Source organism: Homo sapiens, chromosome 19 (assembly GCF_000001405.40).
Source record: "Homo sapiens chromosome 19, GRCh38.p14 Primary Assembly".
Taxonomy (NCBI): domain Eukaryota; kingdom Metazoa; phylum Chordata; class Mammalia; order Primates; family Hominidae; genus Homo; species Homo sapiens.
In genome coordinates this window covers 53796408-53815267 of record NC_000019.10, presented here as the reverse complement: position 1 = coordinate 53815267, position 18860 = coordinate 53796408, and the positions used below count along the sequence as shown (strand labels likewise).

General features: G+C 50.7%; 1 protein-coding gene across 15 annotated transcripts in view, besides 2 other annotated features; it reads left to right on the top strand.

The window, feature by feature from the left end:
- The window catches only part of NLRP12 (NLR family pyrin domain containing 12), a 30820-nt gene that overhangs the window by 9136 nt on the left and 2824 nt on the right, over positions 1-18860 (top strand). For 5 of the 15 annotated variants that reach the window (XM_017027463.2, XM_017027465.2, XM_017027464.2 and 2 more), the window contains 7 exons: positions 280-360; positions 3980-5681; positions 7600-7773; positions 9818-9988; positions 11146-11316; positions 13871-14041; positions 16855-17025. In XM_017027463.2, the coding sequence (XP_016882952.1) occupies positions 4027-5681; positions 7600-7773; positions 9818-9988; positions 11146-11316; positions 13871-14041; positions 16855-17025 (2513 nt within the window). In that variant the 5' untranslated portion in view covers positions 280-360; positions 3980-4026. 15 annotated transcript variants of the gene reach the window in all.
- Positions 16644-17144: an enhancer, noted in NCBI's record as "H3K27ac hESC enhancer chr19:54301378-54301878 (GRCh37/hg19 assembly coordinates)". NCBI's record gives its function as "activates a minimal SCP1, AML or CMV promoter by ChIP-STARR-seq in naive H9 embryonic stem cells {active_cell/tissue: H9 hESC(naive)}" and the evidence as "EXISTENCE:reporter gene assay evidence [ECO:0000049][PMID:30033119]".
- Positions 17726-18226: an enhancer, noted in NCBI's record as "H3K27ac hESC enhancer chr19:54300296-54300796 (GRCh37/hg19 assembly coordinates)". NCBI's record gives its function as "activates a minimal SCP1, AML or CMV promoter by ChIP-STARR-seq in primed H9 embryonic stem cells {active_cell/tissue: H9 hESC(primed)}" and the evidence as "EXISTENCE:reporter gene assay evidence [ECO:0000049][PMID:30033119]".

Sequence of the window (18860 nt, the reverse complement as noted above, 5' to 3'; positions counted from 1 at the left end):
AACAGAGCAAGACTCCGTCTCAAAAAAAAAAAAAAAAAAAAAGACTGATTGGATGGATGGAGGTGCCAATGACCATGAGGGGGACCCAGGGAGGAGGGTGCGCTACAAGGAACAAGGGATGAGCTATTTCCCACACACGGCCTATGCAGTCACTACTGAACATTCTGGGGTGCGGGTGACCAGGGAGTTATGCAGGCATTTCGACGTAATCGCAGCTAATATGACGCGGTGCTACTAGCCAGATGCGTGCTAGCTCATCTTCCACAATTTCTCTTCCAGATACCCCACCTGGTGGCCCGTCCTCACTTGGGAACCAGTCAACATGCCTTCTGGAAGTCTCTCTTGTCACTCCAAGAAAAGGTGAGCCTCAAGCCATGTACCTACATGTATTCATCTACACAGAGCAGCTGACCCCACGGAGTGTAGGCCAACCACAAACGCGTGATTGAGGAATTCGTGGGGTGGATTAATGACACCATCAAAGGGGCAGTTTCCTCCTGTGTTTCAACTCATCAACCTTTCCACGTCAGCATTTTGTCCTGACACGTGTCATCTCCTGGCTGAAAGATGGCTACCAAACCATCTCATACACGCAGGGGCAACAAGGAAGGCTAAGAGGCCAGGTACAGTGGCTCACGCCTGTAATCCCAGCACTTTGGGAGGCCAAAGCGGGCAGATCACCTGAGGTCAGGAGTTCAAGACCAGCCCGGACAACATGGCAAAACCCCGTCTCTACTAAAAATACAAAATTAGCAGGGTGTGGTGGAGCATACCTGTAGTCCCAGCTACTCAGAGGCTGAGGCAGAAGAATCACTTGAACCTGGGAGGTAGAGGTTGCAGTGAGCCAAGATTGCACCACTGCACTCCAGCCTGGGCAACAGAGTGAGACTCCATCTCTTAAAAAAAAAGCAAAGAAAGGAAGGGTAAAGGCCTTCTTCCTCCCTGTTACCAGTCACATCCACGTAACCCACTGGTCAGTACTGGGGAATCTGCCCATTCTCAGAGCAACCACTGACAGAGGGGAACGAGGTTACTCATGACTGATTTAGCAAAACCATAATTCATCCTCTGAGGCTTGTGAAGGGGCAGGATTCACCACTCACTCGAGTCATGAATCAGCATCCACCAACCAAACAGAATCAGGTTTGCTGGCAGGGAAGAAACCGGGGTACAGTCTGCTGGGTAGACAGCAACACTGTTAACAATGCCACAAATGTTTCTGGCTATTTTTTTCAAGGGGAGCATGAAATGAATCTAGTCTCCAGCTCTACTAAAGTAGAATAAGAGTGGGTTCACCAGCTGAGCAAGGTGGCTCACGCCTGTAATCCCTGCACTTTGGGAGGCCAGGCTCTGAGACCAGCCTGGGCAACAAGCAAGACCCCATCTCTACAAAAAAAAACAAAAAATCGAACATTAGCTGGGCATGGAAACTTGTGCCTGTAGATCCAGCTACTCAGGAGGCTGAGGTGGGAGGATTAGTTGAGCCCAGGAGGTTGAAGTTGCAGTGAGCCAAGGTCACGCCACTGCACTCCAGCCTGGGGGGAGTGAGAAAGACCCTGTCTCAAAAAAAAAGGCGGGAGAGGGGTACAAATATTGTATGATTCCACTTATCTAAGGCACCTAGAGTAGTCAAATTCAGAGGCGGAAAGTAGAACAGCAGTTGCCACGCCCGGCATGGTGGCTCACGCCTGTAATCCCAGCACTTTAGGAGGCTCAGGCGGGCAGATCATGAGGTCAGGAGATCGAGACCATCCTGGCTAACACGGTGAAACCTTGTCTCTACTAAAAATACAAAAAAATTAGCCAGGCGTGGTGGCAGGCACCTGTAGTCTGAGCTACTTGGGAGGCTGAGGCAGGAGAATGGTGTGAGCCTGGGAGGCGGAGCTTGCAGTAAGCCGAATCGTGCCGCCGCACTCCAGCCCAGGTGACAGAGCAAGACTCTGTCTCAAAAAAAAAAAAAAAAAAAAAGAAAAGAAAAAAAAAAAAGAATAGCAGTTGCCAGGGAGAGGAGAAATTATGAGTTAATATTTAATGGATATGGAGTTTCTGTTTAGAATGCTGAAAGCATTCTGGAAATAGACATTGGCGGCCAGGCACAGTGGCTCACGTCTGTAATTCCAGCACTTTGAGAGGCCGAGGCGGGCAGATCACTTGAGGTCAGGAGTTCGAAACCAGCCTGGCCAACATGGTGAAACTCCGTCTCTACTAAAAATACAAAAATCAGCTGGGTGTGGTGGCGAGCACCTGTAAATCGAGTTACTCAGGAGACTGAGGCAGGAGAATCACTTGAGCCTGGGAGGCGGAGTTTGCAGTGAGCCTAGATCATGCCACTGCACTCCAGCCTGGGGGACAGAGCAACACTCTGTCTCAAAAAAAAAAAAAAAAAGAGATATTGATGATTGCACAACATCGTGAACTTAGTGTCACAGAGTTGTACGCTTTAAAGTGGTTAAAATGGTAAATTTTATGTGTATGTCACTATAATTAAAAGTACACATATTTGTTTTGAAAATTTTAGTATCAAACTCAGATTCTTTTTTTTAAGCTTCTCTCAGGCAGCTATCATGGGCCTCTGCTGGCATCCAATACCAAGGGATGCATTTGTATCCAGACCAGGGTTTCTCCACATTGGCACTGTTGGCATTTCGGGGCCAGAGCGTTCTTTGCTATGGGGTCGTCCTGTGGTTCCTGGGATGTTGAGCAGCACCTCTGGCCTCTATCCACTATGTGGCAGTAGTACTTTCCCAGTTGTAACAACCAACCCACTTGTCCCGTTGCCAAATGTCCCCTGGGGAACTAGGGGACACAGTCACCCCAATTAAGAACATTGTTCTAGATTTTTTTTTTTTTTTTTTGAGGCAGAGTCTCACGCTGTCGCCCAGGCTGGAGTGCAGTGGGGCGATCTCTTACAGGTGTGAGCCACTGCACTTAGCCCAGGGACTGCATTTCTAACAAGATTGCTGCATGATATGTATGCGTCTTAAAGTTGGAGAAGCACAGCCAGGCATGGTGGTTCATGCCTGTAATCTCAGCATTTTGCGGGGCTCAGGCAGGAGGATTGTTTGAGGCTAGTAGTTGTAGACCAGCCTGGATAACACAGCAAGACCCTGTCTGTACTGAAAAAAAAAAAAAGTTTGAGAAGCACTGCTCCCAAGTTTTCTGTGCCCCCTTTGTTTTCTCTTTCTTTTGTTTTTATAGAGACAGGGTCTCACTATGTTGCTCCGGCTGGTCTCAAACTCCTGAGTTCAGGCGATCCTCCCACCTGGACCTCCCAAAGTGCTGGGATTACAGGCGTGAGCCACCGCACCTGGCTTGTGCCCCCTTTGAAAAAAGGCAGATTCATGTCTGCACTATCTGGTAATGTACCCGTTCTATAAATCCTTTGCTGAAAGTCACTTTGTGGGGCTGGACACAGTGGCTCATGCCTCTAATCCTAGCACTTTGGAAGGCCGAGGTGGGCAGATCATGAGGTCAAGAGATCGAGACCATCCTGGCCAACATAGTGAAACCCCGTCTCTACTAAAAATACAAAAATTAGCCAGGCCTGGTGGCATGTGCCTGTAATCCCAGCTACTCGGGAGGCTGAGACTGGAGAATCACTTGAACCCAGGAGGTGGATGTTGCAGGGAGCACACCATTGCACTCCAAGCTGGGCAACAGAGCGAGACTCCATCTAAAAAAAAAAAAAATTAGCCAGTCTTATAACCTAGTCTCAAAACAAATAAATTATTTTAATTAAAAAAAATTTTTTTTTGAGATGGAGTCTGGCTCTGTTGCCCAGGCTAGAGTGCAGTGGTGCGATCTCAGCTCACTGCAACCTCCACCTCAGGGGTTCAAGTGATTCTCCCATCTCAGCCTCCTGAGTAGCTGGAACTACAGGCACACACCTTCTTTGAGCCACATGAGGAGCGCTTTACCTCGTGAACTCATTAGAGGCTGCTGATGAGTCTTCCACAAAACCTTCATTCCTCTCCCCTAGATCCCCAGGAAACCTACAGGGACTATGTCCGCAGGAAATTCCGGCTCATGGAAGACCGCAATGCGCGCCTAGGGGAATGTGTCAACCTCAGCCACCGGTACACCCGGCTCCTGCTGGTGAAGGAGCACTCAAACCCCATGCAGGTCCAGCAGCAGCTTCTGGACACAGGCCGGGGACACGCGAGGACCGTGGGACACCAGGCTAGCCCCATCAAGATAGAGACCCTCTTTGAGCCAGACGAGGAGCGCCCCGAGCCACCGCGCACCGTGGTCATGCAAGGCGCGGCAGGGATAGGCAAGTCCATGCTGGCACACAAGGTGATGCTGGACTGGGCGGACGGGAAGCTCTTCCAAGGCAGATTTGATTATCTCTTCTACATCAACTGCAGGGAGATGAACCAGAGTGCCACGGAATGCAGCATGCAAGACCTCATCTTCAGCTGCTGGCCTGAGCCCAGCGCGCCTCTCCAGGAGCTCATCCGAGTTCCCGAGCGCCTCCTTTTCATCATCGACGGCTTCGATGAGCTCAAGCCTTCTTTCCACGATCCTCAGGGACCCTGGTGCCTCTGCTGGGAGGAGAAACGGCCCACGGAGCTGCTTCTTAACAGCTTAATTCGGAAGAAGCTGCTCCCTGAGCTATCTTTGCTCATCACCACACGGCCCACGGCTTTGGAGAAGCTCCACCGTCTGCTGGAGCACCCCAGGCATGTGGAGATCCTGGGCTTCTCTGAGGCAGAAAGGAAGGAATACTTCTACAAGTATTTCCACAATGCAGAGCAGGCGGGCCAAGTCTTCAATTACGTGAGGGACAACGAGCCTCTCTTCACCATGTGCTTCGTCCCCCTGGTGTGCTGGGTGGTGTGTACCTGCCTCCAGCAGCAGCTGGAGGGTGGGGGGCTGTTGAGACAGACGTCCAGGACCACCACTGCAGTGTACATGCTCTACCTGCTGAGTCTGATGCAACCCAAGCCGGGGGCCCCGCGCCTCCAGCCCCCACCCAACCAGAGAGGGTTGTGCTCCTTGGCGGCAGATGGGCTCTGGAATCAGAAAATCCTATTTGAGGAGCAGGACCTCCGGAAGCACGGCCTAGACGGGGAAGACGTCTCTGCCTTCCTCAACATGAACATCTTCCAGAAGGACATCAACTGTGAGAGGTACTACAGCTTCATCCACTTGAGTTTCCAGGAATTCTTTGCAGCTATGTACTATATCCTGGACGAGGGGGAGGGCGGGGCAGGCCCAGACCAGGACGTGACCAGGCTGTTGACCGAGTACGCGTTTTCTGAAAGGAGCTTCCTGGCACTCACCAGCCGCTTCCTGTTTGGACTCCTGAACGAGGAGACCAGGAGCCACCTGGAGAAGAGTCTCTGCTGGAAGGTCTCGCCGCACATCAAGATGGACCTGTTGCAGTGGATCCAAAGCAAAGCTCAGAGCGACGGCTCCACCCTGCAGCAGGGCTCCTTGGAGTTCTTCAGCTGCTTGTACGAGATCCAGGAGGAGGAGTTTATCCAGCAGGCCCTGAGCCACTTCCAGGTGATCGTGGTCAGCAACATTGCCTCCAAGATGGAGCACATGGTCTCCTCGTTCTGTCTGAAGCGCTGCAGGAGCGCCCAGGTGCTGCACTTGTATGGCGCCACCTACAGCGCGGACGGGGAAGACCGCGCGAGGTGCTCCGCAGGAGCGCACACGCTGTTGGTGCAGCTGTAAGTATCCCTGGGGTATCCCCTGGGGCTGCTTAGGTTCGTGTGTTTTTTTTTTTTTTTTTTTTTTTTGCTCTGTTGCCTAGGCTGGAGTACACTGGCGTGACCTCAGCTCACTGCAACCTCCGCCTCCCGGGTTCAAGAGATTCTCCTGCTTCAGCCTCCCAAGTAGCTGGGACTACAGGTGCACGCCACCACGCCCACCTAATTTTTGTATTTTTAGTAGAGACAGGGTTTCACCATGTTGGCCAGGGTGGTCTCGATCTCTTGACCTCGTGATCTGCCCGCCTTGGCCTCCCAAAGTGCTGGGATTACAGGCATGAGCCACTGCACCCGGCCCACGATTTTTTTTTTTTTTTTTTTTTAAACTAAGTCTCTCTTGGTCTCCTAGGCTGGTGTGCAGTGGCGCAATCTTGGCTCACTGCAGCCTCTGCCTCCCGGGTTCAAGCGATTCTCCTGCCTCAGCCTCCTGAGTAGCTGGGATTACAGGTGCCCATCACCATGCCAGGATAATTTTTGTATTTTTAGTGGAGATGGGGTTTCGCTGTGTTAGCCAGGCTGGTCTTGAACTCCTGACCTCAAGTGATCCACCCACCTTGGCCTTGAGGTTCATGCTCTTAACCAGTGCCTCTCAGCTGGGGGTGATTTTGCTCTGACATTTGGCGATGTTTGGAGACACGTTTTTGGTGGTCACAACTGGGAAGCAAATAATACTACTGACATCTAGTGGATAAAGGCCGGGAATGCTGCAAACATCCTACAGTACACAGGACAGTCCCTCTGGCCCCAAAGTGTCAATAGTGCCACAAAGACTAAACAACACCCATTGGGACTAAATTGAGGTCGATGTCTGGGAGAATTTATTCAATCAACAAATATTACTAAGTCCCTTTTTCTTGAGAGAGTGTGGCTCTGTCACCAAGGCTGGAGTGCAGGGGCACAATCTCAGCTCACTGCAACCTCCACCTTGCGTGTCTCAGCCTCCTGAGCAGCTGGGACCACAGGAGTGTGCCACCACACCCAGCTAATTTTTGTATTTTTTTAGTAGAGATGGGGTGTCACCATGTTGGCCAGGCTGGTCTCAAACTCTCGGCCTCAGCCTCCCAAAGTGCTGGGATTATAGGTGTGAGCCACCACACCCAGCCTCTATATCCCTTTTATCGGTGGACCCAACAATCTTCTGTAGACAGAAGACTGTGTGAATAAGCCAATGGTCCCAAGAGAGCACGCATCCTAATGAGAACGGAGACAGATAATAAAGAGGGAAACAAGTAAACCAACTATCAATGATTAGGAGCGTCAGATAGAGCCAGGTGCAGCCTGGACAACATGATGAGATCCCCATCTCTAAAAATATAAAATAAATTAGCTGGTCATGATGGTGCACACCTGTAGCCCCAGCTTCTCAGTAGGCTGAGGTGGGAGGATTGCTTAAGCCTGGGAGGTCAAGCCTACAGTGAGCCATGATCTCACCATGCACTCCAGCCTAGACAACAGGGCAAGGCCCTCTAAAAAAAAAAATGAAAAGATAGCATGCTTTGGCCGGATGTGGTGGCTCACGCCTGTAATCCCAGCACTTCAGGAGGTTGAGGCGGGCAGATCACCTGAGGTCAGGAGTACGAGATCAGCCTGGCCAACACGGTGAAACCCCATCTCTACTAAAAATACAAAATTAACTGGGCGTGGTGGCTCATGCCTGTAATCCCAGCTACTCTGGAGGCTGAGGCAGGAGAATCGCTTGAACCCAGGAGGCGGAGGTTGTGGTGAGCTGAGATTGCGCCATTGCACTCCAGCCTGGGCAACAAGAGCGAAACTCCGTCTCAAAAAAGGATAGCATGCTTCATAAACGGTGAAATGACATGCAAAGGCCATAGTTGTCAAGCACCAGTAACACCAGAGAGTGGCCTGTCTTTCCTTCAAGCAGACCAGAGAGGACCGTTCTGCTGGACGCCTACAGTGAACATCTGGCAGCGGCCCTGTGCACCAATCCAAACCTGATAGAGCTGTCTCTGTACCGAAATGCCCTGGGCAGCCGGGGGGTGAAGCTGCTCTGTCAAGGACTCAGACACCCCAACTGCAAACTTCAGAACCTGAGGTGAGTGCAGGCTGGTCTGGGCGTTTCAGGTGGTCCCCACCGTGGCCTCTCATGGGGATCAGTCACAAAGGTTCTATCACGGGATGGTGTATTCGTTGGCTACGGCTGCCATAAAAAAGTGTCACAAAGCCAGGTGCCGTGGCTCACGTCTGTAATCCCAGTATGTTGACAGGTGAAGGCGGGCAGATCACTTGAGGTCAGGAGTTTGAGACCAGCCTGGCCAACATGGCAAAATGCCATCTCTACAAAAAATACAAAAATCAGGAGGGTGTGGTGGCGGGCGCCTGTAATCCCAGCTGCTTGGGAGGCTGAGGCAGGAGAATCGCTTGAACCTGGGAGGCGGAGGTTGCAGTGAGCCGGGATTGTGCCACTGCACTCCAGCCTGGGTGATACGGTGAGACTCCATCTCAGGGGGGAAAAAAGTGCCAAAGACTGGGTGGCTTCACCACATAAATCTATTTTCTCAAGGCAGGTGGGGGGCTGCTGGAAGTCCAAGACAAGGAGTGGGCAGGTTAAGTTCTTCTGAGGCCTCTGTCCTGGGCCTGCAGATCACTGCCTTCTGTCTTCACATGGTCATCCTGCTGTGTGGGTCTCCAAATTTTTTTCTTTTTTTTACTTTTTTTTTTTTTAAATTTTTGAGACACTGATATGCTCTGTCACCCAGGCTGGAGTGCAGTGGCACAATCATGGCTCACTGCAGCCCCAAACTCCTGGACTCAAGCGATCCTCTTGCTCCAGCATCACGAGTAGCTGGGAAAACAAGCATGTGCAACCACACCCGGCTAATTTCTTTTTTTTTTTTTTTTTTTTTTTTTGAGACGGAGTCTTGCTTTGTCACCAGGCTGGAGTGCAGTAGCGTGATCTCGGCTCACTGCAACCTCTGCCTCCTGGGTTCAAGCGATTCTCCTGCCTCGGCCTCCTGAGTAGCTGGGACTACAGGCAGGTGCCACCATGCCCAGCTAATTTTTTGTATTTTTAGTAGAGACGGGGTTTCACCATATTAGCCAGGATGGTCTCAATCTCTAACCTCGTGATCCACCCACCTCGGCCTCCCAAAGTGCTGGGATTACAGACTGAGCCACCGTGCCCAGCCACACCAGGCTAATTTTTGTATGTTTTGGAGAGATGGGGTTTCACCATGCTGCCCATACTGGTCTCAAACTTCTGGCCTCAAGTGATCCTCCTTCCTCAGCCTCCCTAACTGTTGAGATTACAGGTGTGAGCCACTGTGCCTAGCCAAATTTTTTTCATATGTTATTTTTTGAGATAGTATTGCTCTGTAGCCTGGGCTGGAGTGCAGTGACATGATCTCGACTCACTGCAACCTCCGCCTCCTGAGTTCAAGCAATTCTCCTGCCTCAGCCTCCTGATTAGCTGGGATTACAGGGGTGCATCACCACACCCAGCTAATTTTTGTGTTTATAGTAGAAATGGGGTTTCACTGTGTTGGCCAGGCTGGTCATAAACTCCTGACCTCAGGTGATCCACCCACCTCGGCCTCCCAAAGTGCTGAGATTACAGGCTTGAGCCACCGCACATGGCCTTGAATTTCTTTAAGGGCAACCTTTGTGAATGTATTTGACTACAAAGCATCAAAACATTTTATATTGTTCTTGTTGCTTTTCTTGACAGGTAAAATTTATCATATATAACATGATATTTTGAAATAAATATATTGGCCAGGTATGATGGCTCACGCCTGTAATTCCAGCACTTTGGGAGGCCCAGATGGGGAGGATCACTTGACCCAGGAGTTCAAGACCAGCCTGGCCAACATGGTGAAACCCCATCTCTACTAAAAATACCAAAATGAGCCAGGCATGGTGGCACACGTCTGTAAGCCCAGCTACTCAGGAGGCCAAGGCAGGAGGATTGCTTCAACCCAGGAGGCAGAGGTTGTGGTAAGCCAAAATCATGCCACTGCTCTCCAGCCTGGGTGACAGAGCGACTCTGTCTCAGAAAAAAAAAAAAAAGCAAAAGAAAATAATCCACAAAACTGGAGCAAAAGAAATGACCAGCTCCTTTCTCCTCTTTTCCACCCCAGGCTGAAGAGGTGCCGCATCTCCAGCTCAGCCTGCGAGGACCTCTCTGCAGCTCTCATAGCCAATAAGAATTTGACAAGGATGGATCTCAGTGGCAACGGCGTTGGATTCCCAGGCATGATGCTGCTTTGCGAGGGCCTGCGGCATCCCCAGTGCAGGCTGCAGATGATTCAGTGAGTCTCTATCCCCGGGAGCAACTTCTTAAGCTCATTGTCTCCTGGGGCATGAAATATCACAAAATGCTGGTAATCCCCAAATCTCCACCTTTAAATCAGGGCTGGCCCTTAACCCCATGACCTAAGACCCTGGCCCTGGACTCTAGGCACTTTGGAAGACCTGCTTCTGCCCTCCTCTGACTCCACACTCAATTCTACATGATGAAGAGTCCCTGGGGCCATCCCCCACCTCTTCTTTTTTTCTCCCGAGACGGGGTCTTGCTATGTTGCCCAAGTTGGGGTGCAGTGGCACAATCTCGGCTCACTGCAACCCCCACTTCCTGCGTTCAAGTGATTCTCCTGCCTCAGGCTCCCAAGTAGCTGGGATTACAGGCACCCACCACCACACCCAGCTAACTTTTTTGTATTTTTAGTAGAGATGGGGTTTCCTCACGTTGGCCAGGCTGGTCTTGAACTCCTGACCTCAAATGATCCACCCACCTTGGCCTCCCAAAGTGCTGGAATTACAGGTGTGAGCCACTGCACTCGACCTACAAAAATTTTTTTTTTTTAATTAGCCAGGTATGGGCCAGGAGCGGTGGTTCACGTCTATAATCCCAGCACTTTGGGAGGCCAAGGCAGGCGGATCACCTGAGGTCAGGAGTTCGAGACCAGCCTGGCCAACACGGAGAAACACCCCGTCTCTACTAAAAATGCAAAACTTAGCTGGGCGTGGTGGCACACACCTGTAGCCCAGCCTGTAGTCCCAGCTACTCGAGACTGAGGTATGAAAATCACTTGAACCCAGGAGGTGGAGGTTGCGGTGAGGCAAGATCACGCCACTGTACTCCAGCCTGGGTGACAGAATGAGGTTCTACCTCAAAAAAAAAAAAAAACAAAAAAACCCAAAAAAAACAAAAAACAAACAAACAAAAAAAATTAGGCAGGTGTGGTGGTGCACACATGTATTCCCAGTTACTCAGGAGGCTGAGGCAGGAGGATCACGGGAGCCTGGAGGTCGAGGCTTCAGCGAGTTGATATCACTCCACTGAACTTCACCCTGGGTGACAGAGCAACAACCTGTTCCTAAATAATAAAATAACAGGCTGGAGCATGAGTGATCACGACATAGAAAAGCAAGATGGCGTCCCCTTCAACCTCTCCTTCCTCCCAAGGTTGAGGAAGTGTCAGCTGGAGTCCGGGGCTTGTCAGGAGATGGCTTCTGTGCTCGGCACCAACCCACATCTGGTTGAGTTGGACCTGACAGGAAATGCACTGGAGGATTTGGGCCTGAGGTTACTATGCCAGGGACTGAGGCACCCAGTCTGCAGACTACGGACTTTGTGGTGAGTTCTTCCTGGGGTCAACTATAATAAAATGGCAAATCTCTTCATATTGAATGATGGTATAAAAATGCATCCACAGGTCGGGCGCAGTGGCTCACGCCTGTAATCCCGGCACTTTGGGAGGCCAAAGAGGGCAGATCATCTGAGGTCAGGAGTTCGAGACCAGCCTGGCCAACACGGTGAAACCCCCTCTCTACTAAAGATACAAAAATTAGCTGGATGTGGTGGCACACGCCTGTAATCACAGCTACTCAGGGGGCTGAGGCAGGAGGATCACTTGAACCTGAGAGGCGGAAGTTGCAGTGAGCTGAGATCACGTCACTGCACTCCAGCCACGGTGACAGAGTGAGACTCCATCTCAAAAAACAAAGTAGAATAGTGGCTGCCAAGGCCTAGAACAGGAAGAAATGGGGAGTTACCGTTTAACGGGAGCAGAGGTTCCATTTCGGAAGATGAAAAAGTTCCAGAGATGGGCCGGGTGCGGTAGTTCACGCCTGTAATCCCAGCACTTTGGGAGGCCGAGGTGGGCAGATCACCTGAGGTCTGGAGTTCGAGACCAGCCTGACCAACATGGAGAAGCCCCGTCTCTACTAAAATACAAAATTAGCCAGGCGTGGTGGCACATGCCTATAATCCCAACTACTCGGGAGGCTGAGGCAGGAGAATCACTTGAACTTGGGAGGCGGAGGTTGTGGTGAGCCAACACTGTGTCATTGCACTCCAGCCTGGACAACAAAAACGAAACTCCGTCTCAAAAAAAAAAAAAGTTCCAGAGATGGATAGCAGTGATGATTTCCCAGTAGCGTGAAACTACTTCATGCCACTGAGCCACAGTCAGCCCTCTGTGTCCACGGGTTCTGCATTCGTGAATTTCATCAACCATGGATCAAAAATATTCAGAAGGGCAGGGCGCGGTGGCTCACAGCTGTAATCACAACCCTCTGGAAGGCCAAGGCAGGAGAATGGCTTGAGTGCAGGAGCTCAAGAGCAGCCTGGGAACCAGTGAGACTTCATCTCTACAAAAAATAAACATAATTAGCTGGGGTGGGTGGTATGTGTCTGGAGTCCCAGCTATTCAGGAGCCTCGGAGGCCAAGGCTGCAGTGAGCTGTGATCAAGCCACTGTACCCCAGACTGGGTGACAGGGTGAGACCCTGTCCCTAATAAAATAAAAAGTAAATTTAATTGTGGTAAAATACATGCAACATAAAATGTACCATCTTCCCCAGTTTTCTTTTTTTTTTTTGAGACAGAGTCTTGCTCTGTCGCCCAGGCTGGAGTGCAGTGGTGTGATCTCTGCTCACTGCAAGCTCCGCCTCCCGGGTTCACACCATTCTCCTGCCTCGACCTCCCTAGTAGCTGGGACTACAGGCGCCTGCCACCACGCTTGGCTAATTTTTTGTATTTTTAGTAGAGACGGGGTTTCACCGTGTTAGCCAGGATGGTCTCGATCTCCTGACCTCGTGACCCGCCCGCCTCAGCCCCCGAAAGTGCTGGGATTACAGGCGTGAGCCACCATGCCCGGCCGCATTCTATTTATTTTTAATAGTAGGCATCCTAATGGGTATGAGATGCTATCTTATCGTGGTTTTCATTTGTATTTCCCCAATGATTATTGAGATTGAGCATCTTTTCAGGTGCTTTTTGGCCATTTGTACACCTTCCTTGAAGAAATGTGTATTCAAGCCTTTTGCTCATTTATTTTTATTTATTATTTATTTATTTGAGATGGAGTTCCACTCTTGTTGCCCAGGCTGGAGTGCAATGGCGTGATCTCAGCTCACGGCAACCTCCGCCTCCTGGGTTCAAGTGATTCTCCTGCCTCAGCCTCCCAAGTAGCTGGGATTACAGGCATGCGCCACCACGCCCAGCTAATTTTTTGTATTTAGTAGAGACGGGGTTTCACCATGTTAGCCAGGATGGTCTCCATCTCCCAACCTCAGGTGATCCACCCATCTCAGCCTCCCAAAGTGCTGAGATTACAGGCATGAGCCACTGTGCCCAGTCTAATTTTGTATTATTAGTAGAGAGGGGGTTTCTCCATGTTGGTCAGGCTGGTCTCAAACTCCCGACCTCAGGTGATCTGCCAGCCTCGGCCTCCCAAAGTGCTGGGATTACAGGCGTGAGCCACCAGGCCGGGCCCTTTTGCCCATTTTTAAATTAGATTGTCTGAAAATGCATTACTGTTAAGATTGGGGGCCTAGGCGCAGTGGCTCACGCCTGTAATTCCAGTCCTTTGGGAGGCTGAGGCAGGCATATCACCCATGGTCAGGAGTTCGAGACCACCCTAGCCAACATGGCGAGAAACCCTGTCTCTACTAAAAATACAAAAACTAACTAGGCGTGATGCCACACGCTTGTAGTCCCAGCGATTCAGGAGGCTGAGGCAGGAGAATCGCTTGAACATGGGAGGTGGAGGATGCAGCTGAGCCGAGATTGCACCACTGCATTCCAGCCTGGGCAACAGAGTGGGACTCTGTCTCAAAAAAAAAAAAAAAAAAAAAGAAAAAGAAAGGAAAGCCTCCATAATGCTTGTTGAATTGGACTTTGTGCAGGCTGAAGATCTGCCGCCTCACTGCTGCTGCCTGTGACGAGCTGGCCTCAACTCTCAGTGTGAACCAGAGCCTGAGAGAGCTGGACCTGAGCCTGAATGAGCTGGGGGACCTCGGGGTGCTGCTGCTGTGTGAGGGCCTCAGGCATCCCACGTGCAAGCTCCAGACCCTGCGGTGAGTCCCGTTTTGCTCACCACGCTAGGAGTCCCAATCCATGAACGCAGCCCTCTCACCTGGGACCACGGAGGCCAGGTTGTCTCTGCTCCTAAACTCTAGCTACTACATCAGCCTTTTTTTTTTTTTTTTGAGACTCCCAAGTAGCTGAGATTACAGGCGCCCGCCACCAAGCCCAGCTAATTTTTTGTATTTTTAGTAGAGACAGGGTTTCATCATGTTAGCAGGATGGTCTCGATCTACTGACCTCATGATCTGCCTGCCTTGGCCTCCCAAAGTGCTGGGATTACAGGCTTGAGCCACTGCACCCAGCCTACATCAGCCTTTTTAAAAGGATTTTTCTGGCCGGGCATGGTGGCTGACACCTTAATTCCAGCACTTTTGGGAGGCCGAGGTGGGAGGATCACCTGAGGTGGGGAATTCGAGACCAGCCTGACCAACATGTAGAAACACCCCATCTGTACTAAAAATACAAAAGTAGCCAGGCATGGTGGTGCATGCCTATAATGCCAGCTACTCGCGAGGCTGAGGCAGGAGAATCCGTTGAACCCGGGAGGTGGAAGTTGCTGTGAGCTGAGATGGAGCCATTGCACTCCAGTCTGGGCAACAAGAGCGAAACTCCGTCTCAAAAAAAAAAAAGGGGGGGGTTTTCTGACGCACGGCCCTTTGCACAAGCAATTCTTATTCCCTGGCATGCCTTCTGCTCTCTGTCCCCTCTTTGCCTGGAGAAGTTCAATTTTTCTTCTGAACACTCTTTACTTTGTATTTTGAGACAGGGTCTTGCTCTGTCACCAGTGCTGGAGTGGAGTGGTGTGATCATAGCCCGACATCCTGGGCTGAAGCCATCCTCCCAACTCAGCCTCCTGAGTAGCTGGGACTGCAAGCGCATGCCACCACAGATGGCTAATTTTTACTTTTTTTTTGAGACGAGTCTTGCCCTGTCGCCCAGGCTGGAGTGCGGTGGCGCGATCTCAGCTTACTGCGAGCTCCACCTCCCGGGTTCACACCATTCTCCTGCCTCAGCCTCCCGAGTAGCTGGGACTAAAGGTGCCCGCCACCATGCCCGGCTAATTTTTAAAAACATTTTTTTAGTAGAGATGGGGTTTCACCGTGTTAGCCAGGATGGTCTCTCTCTCCTGACCTCATGATCCACCTGCCTCGGCCTCCCAAAGTGCTGGGATTACAGGCGTGAGCCACTGCGCCTGGCCAATTTTTATTTATTTTTTGTAGGGACAAGGTCTCGATTTGTTGCCTAGGCTGGTGTCAAACTCCTGGCCTTAGGAGATCCTCTGGCCTTGGCCTTCCAAAGTGCTGGGATTACAGGTGTGACCCACTACACCCAGCTGGACACCCTTTCTAATCCCTAGCTAAAATCTGGGTTCCTAGATTTATGATCCTATGTGACCTCATACTTCCCCCTCAGCATCATTTATTGAAATCTGAAGGCAGGATGCGGTGGCTCACACCTGTAATCTTAGCACTTTGGGAGGCCAAGGTGGGAGAATGACCTGAGGTCAGGAGTTCAAGACTAGCCTGGCCAACATGGTGAAACCCCGTCTCTACTAAAAATATAAAAATTAGCCAGGCATGGTGGCGGACGCCTGATATCCAGGTACTCAGGAGGCTGAGGCAGAAGAATTGCTTGAACCCGGGAGCCGGAGGTTGCAGTGAGCTGAGATTTTGCCACTGCACTCCAGCCTGGATGACAGAGCGAGATTCCATCTCAAAAAAAAAAAAGAAAAATTTGTAATTTGTGTATATGTGTGTGTGGTGGCATTCCACAAGCATAGGAGCTATGCCAACTGTATCTCCTAGTGACTAGTATAAGACGTGGGTAGAAGTGCTCAAAAAACACACTTTGTGTATTTTTTTTATCAAGGCACCAGCAAAAAACAAAAAACAAAAAATCACACACGCGGCTGGGCGCGGTGGCTCATGCCTGTAAACCCAGCACTTTGGGAGGCTGAGGCGGGTGGATCACGAGGTCAAGAGATGGAGACCATCCTGGCCAACTGGTGAAACCCCGTCTCTACTAAAAATACAAAAATTAGCTGGGCGTGGTGGTGTGCACCTGTAGTCACAGCTACTCAGGAGGCTGAGGCAGAAGAATCACTTGAACCCAGGAGGCGGAGGTTGCAGTGAGCCAAGATCACGCCACTGCACTCCAGCCTGGGCGACATTGCAAGACTCTGTCTCAAAAAAAAAAAAAAAAAAAATTTGTAGATAGGAGGCTGAGGCGGGTGGATCACCTAAGGTCAGGAGTTCGAAACCAGCCTGACCAACATGGTGAAACCCCGCTTGTACTAAAAATACAAAAATTAGCCGGGCATGTTGCCACATGCCTGTAATCCCATCTACTTGGGAGACTGAGGCAGGAGAATCGCTTGAGCTTGTGAGGTGGAGGTTGCAGTGAGCCGAGATTGCACCATTGCACTCCAGCCTGGACAACAAGAGGGAAACGCCATCGCAAAAAGAAAAAAAATTTTTTTTTGTACAGACAAGTTATTGGTTGTCCAGACTGGTCACAAACTCCTGACCTCAAAAAACCCTCCAGCCTCAAGCCTCCCAAGATGCTGGGATGACAGGCATGAGCCAGGGCACCTGGCCTGATTCTTAGTTGCTTCCTTCTGTTCTCTTATTCCTCCCTTCCTCTCATCTTCCTACTTCTGTCGTCTTTTTCTTTTTGTCTCTCAAGGGTAGAGATTGAGTCTGTCCCTCTGTCTGCAACCAGCACAGGGCTTGGCACAGGGCCCTCCCAGCAGATTTTGCAGGAGGAATGCCTCCCACTCCGCCCTAGCATCCTGTCTTTGCAGGTTGGGCATCTGCCGGCTGGGCTCTGCCGCCTGTGAGGGTCTTTCTGTGGTGCTCCAGGCCAACCACAACCTCCGGGAGCTGGACTTGAGTTTCAACGACCTGGGAGACTGGGGCCTGTGGTTGCTGGCTGAGGGGCTGCAACATCCCGCCTGCAGACTCCAGAAACTGTGGTGAGCATCGGGGAGTGACGGGGTGGCAGTGGTCACGTTTGGACAGTGGAAGCGCCTTCTCATCCTTCATTTTTCTATTTATGAACTATCCTGCTTCACTACAAAAGATTCAGGTAGCAAGAAGAGAGGTGGAAAGAAAAGACAGGAAGTCTCTCTGAACTTATTCTGATTTGGGGGTGCTACCCGACTTAAAATTTTAAAAACTTAAGGCCAGGCGCGATGGCGCATGCCTGTAATCCCAGCACTTTGGGAAGCCGAGGTGGGTGGATCACCTGAGGTCAGGAGTTCAAGACCAGCCTAACACGGTGAAACCCTGTCTCTACTAAATACAAAAAAAATAGCCGGGCCTGGTGGCACATGCCTGTAATCCGAGCTACTTGGGAGGCTGAGACAGGAGAATCGCTTGTACCTGGGAAGTAGAGGTTTCAGTGAGCCGAGATCATGCCATTGCACTCCAGCCTGGGCAACAAGAGTGAAACTCTGTCTCAAAAAAAAAAAAAATTAAAATTTAAAAATTACAAAAGAGGCTGGGCACGGTAGCTTAATGCCTGCAATCCCAGCACTTTGGGAGGCCGAGGCGGGTGGATCACCTGAGGTCAGGAGTTCGAGACCAGCCTGGCCAAAACGGTGAAACACCATTCTACAAAAATACAAAAATTAACCCAGTGTGGTGGCGCATGCCTGTAATCCCAGCTACTCGGGAGGTTGAGGCAGGAGAATGACTTGAACCTGGGAGGCGAGATTACAGTGAGCTGAGATCATGCCACTGCCCTCCAGCCTGGGTGATAGAGCAAGACTCTGTCTCAAAAATAATAATTCAGGCCGGGCACAGTGGCTCATGCCTGTAATCCCAGCACTTTGGGAGTCCAAGGCGGACAGATCATGAGGTCAGGAGTTTGAGACCAGCCTGGCCAACATGGCCATCTCTATTAAGAATACAAAAATTAGCCTGGCGTGGTGGTGGGTGTCTGTAATCCCAGCTACACAGGAGGCTGAGGCAGGAGAATCACTTGAACCCAGGAGGTGGAGGTTGCAGTGAGCGGAGATCACACCATTGCACTCCAGCCTAGGTGCCAGAGAAAGACTCCATCTCGAGAAAAAAAAATAATAATTCAATCTGGTGCTCTGTAAATTCCAATCAAATGTTAATTGTGACTTTCTCCCTCACCTTTCTGCCAGGCCAGCTGTAGCCCTAATCTGAAGGACTTAGAATGGGATGAGGCATCATCTAGTTTATTTGGGATTTTTTTTTTTTTTAAAACAGGGTCTCCCTGTCACCCTGGAGTGCAGTGGCACGATCTTGGCTCACTGCAACCTCCACCTCCCGGGTTCAAGCAATTCCTGCCTCAGCCTCCCGAGTAGCTGGGATTACAGGCATGCGCCACCACCCCGGCTAATTTTGTATTTTTAGTAGAGACGGGGTTTCTCATGTTGGTCAGGCTGGTCTTGAACTCCCGACCTCAGGTGATCTGCCTGCCTCGGCCTCCCAAAGTGCTGGAATTACAGGCGTGAGCCACCACGCCCGGCCTAACCCAGATAATTTTTTAAAATGTTTCAGAGGCTGGGCGTAGTGGCTCACGCCTATAATCCCAGCACTTTGGGAGGCCAAGGTTGGTGGATCACTTGAGGTCAGGAGTTTGAGACCAGTCTGGCCAACATGGTGAAATCCCCTCTCCACTAAAGATATAAAAATTACGGCCGGGCACAGTGGCTCATGCCTGTAATCCCAGCACTTTGGGAGGCTGAGGCGGGCGGATCACGAGGTCAAGAGATTGAGACCATTCTGGCCAACAAGGTGAAACCCTCTCTCTACTAATACAACAATTAGTTGGGTG